This window comes from Homo sapiens, chromosome 4 (assembly GCF_000001405.40).
Source record: "Homo sapiens chromosome 4, GRCh38.p14 Primary Assembly".
NCBI classification, from domain to species: Eukaryota; Metazoa; Chordata; class Mammalia; order Primates; family Hominidae; genus Homo; species Homo sapiens.
In genome coordinates, this window is record NC_000004.12 from 66,275,484 (window position 1) to 66,277,360 (window position 1,877).

General features: G+C 38.0%; 1 non-coding gene across 1 annotated transcript; it reads left to right on the plus strand.

Moving 5' to 3' along the window:
* Positions 1 to 1,340: 1,340 nt before the first annotated feature.
* MIR1269A (microRNA 1269a) lies at positions 1,341 to 1,445 on the plus strand. Its single transcript, NR_031673.1, has one exon. It is a non-coding gene; the product is annotated as a microRNA 1269a (primary transcript).
* Positions 1,446 to 1,877: the final 432 nt, after the last annotated feature.

Here is a 1,877-nt window from a genome sequence, read left to right on the forward strand (position 1 = left end):
GAGTCCTATTTACAAATGAGGTAAACTGCCTGGAATCAAGCAACCAAACACGTGATGGTTGCTGCCTACTCTGCCAGCATAGATGTTTGTGCTGTCGGTCCTGAGAACACTGGCCAGCAAAATTGCTATTATTGCAAACATGTGTGGCAATGCTGAATGAGATTTCTAAGGAATTGTGTGGTAGAATGAATATTAGTGTTTGGGACAAATGCTTTCTTAGGACATAATTTAAAAAACACTTCCTACATTCCCAAACTCTGCTGTACAGAATGTTTATTACATGGATAGTAGTATAAAGAGACCACTGTGTTACTCCTGGCATGGCCTACATAAGTCCCTAGTAGGCAATCCCTCACAGCAATTTTATAGCATCTGGCTCTAGGTAGCTCATAAAACAAAGTGAAGCATTGCAGTCATGGCAATGCTGATGAGCTGAGATTGGCTCATGTTGAGTTCCACTGTTGTACTTCCAAGTGGTATTATACTGTGTCTCATGATTCTTTCATGCTAGGAAATTTTTTTTGTCTTTACTTATTAATGTTTGTATAAAAGATTGAAGTGACTGGCATATTTGTTTGATAATACCTGTGTTAACTTAAAATGTAGTGGATGAAGGTTCTAAAGTTCCCAGAAATTGCCAAGCATTTGGAAATAATCATTTTAAAAATGGTAATGTGGAATTTTATTTTCAGAGGCTATGAAGGTTACTTCTAAATAAGAAAGAATTTGATAAAAACTATGCTTCTCCCTCCCCCAAATCTGTTTTCATGTAAAAGACAAATAAATGATGACTTCCCCCACCCCGCAAAAAAAAAATTTTTTTTTGAACTATGCTTCACTAAGACCTTAAGTGTAAGTTTACAATCCTAAATTGTATCTTAGGTGGACTTCCTAATTGAATTATTTGTATCATTTTCATGCATACATTCATTACTTTTAACTTCATTCAATGATTTTTATTTTTAATAATTATGTGAAAATCAGCAATGGTTAACTTTAGGTGTCAACTTGACTAGATTAAGGAATACTTAGCTGGAAAAGTATTGTTTCTGGGTGTGTCGGGGGGGGTGTTTTTTGAGGAGATTGATATGTGAGTCAGTGGATTGAGTGAGGAAGATTCTCCCTCAGTGTAGAAAGGAACCATCCTATTTGGGGTTCCAGATGGAAAACAAAGTCAAAGGAAGGACAAACTATTGCTCTCTTTCTTGCTTCCAAAGCAAGAGGCTCTTCTATTCCTGCATTTGAATATCAGAACTCCAGTTCCTCCAGCTCTTGGACTCTGGGGCTCACAACAGCAGCTCTGTTTTGGGGCCTTTGACCTGGGACTGAATTCATACCACTGGATTGCCTAGACCAGGGAAGCCAGTTGGCATGGCTCAGTCCAAGTCTGACCACCTGAGGAATGCCTGGACTGAGCCGTGCTACTGGCTTCCCTGGTCTCCAGCTTGCAGATGGCCTATCATGAGACTTCTCAGCCTCCATAATCATGGGAGCCCATTCCGCTAATAAATCTTCTCTAATGTAACTATCTCCATATCCTATATGTTCTACCTCCCTAGGAACCCTGACTAACAGTCATTAACCTTTAACAGTACATTTCAAACGATGAAGCTCTTCGGATTCCAAATATACTTAAGAAGACTTTCTAAATACCATTCAAATGAAAAGATAAAGCCAAAAATTTATAGTACCACTTAGAAATGAGGCCGAAATTTATGGGACATCATTGTAATATTTTCCTGATGAATATTTCCAGAAAAAATTTCATTTAAGGAGTGATTGCATTTTAAAAAGAAGATGCATGGAAGGAACAATGAGGATAACATGAAACACACTTGCAGCATATTGTGGTGTATATAAATTATACTCCCGGACAC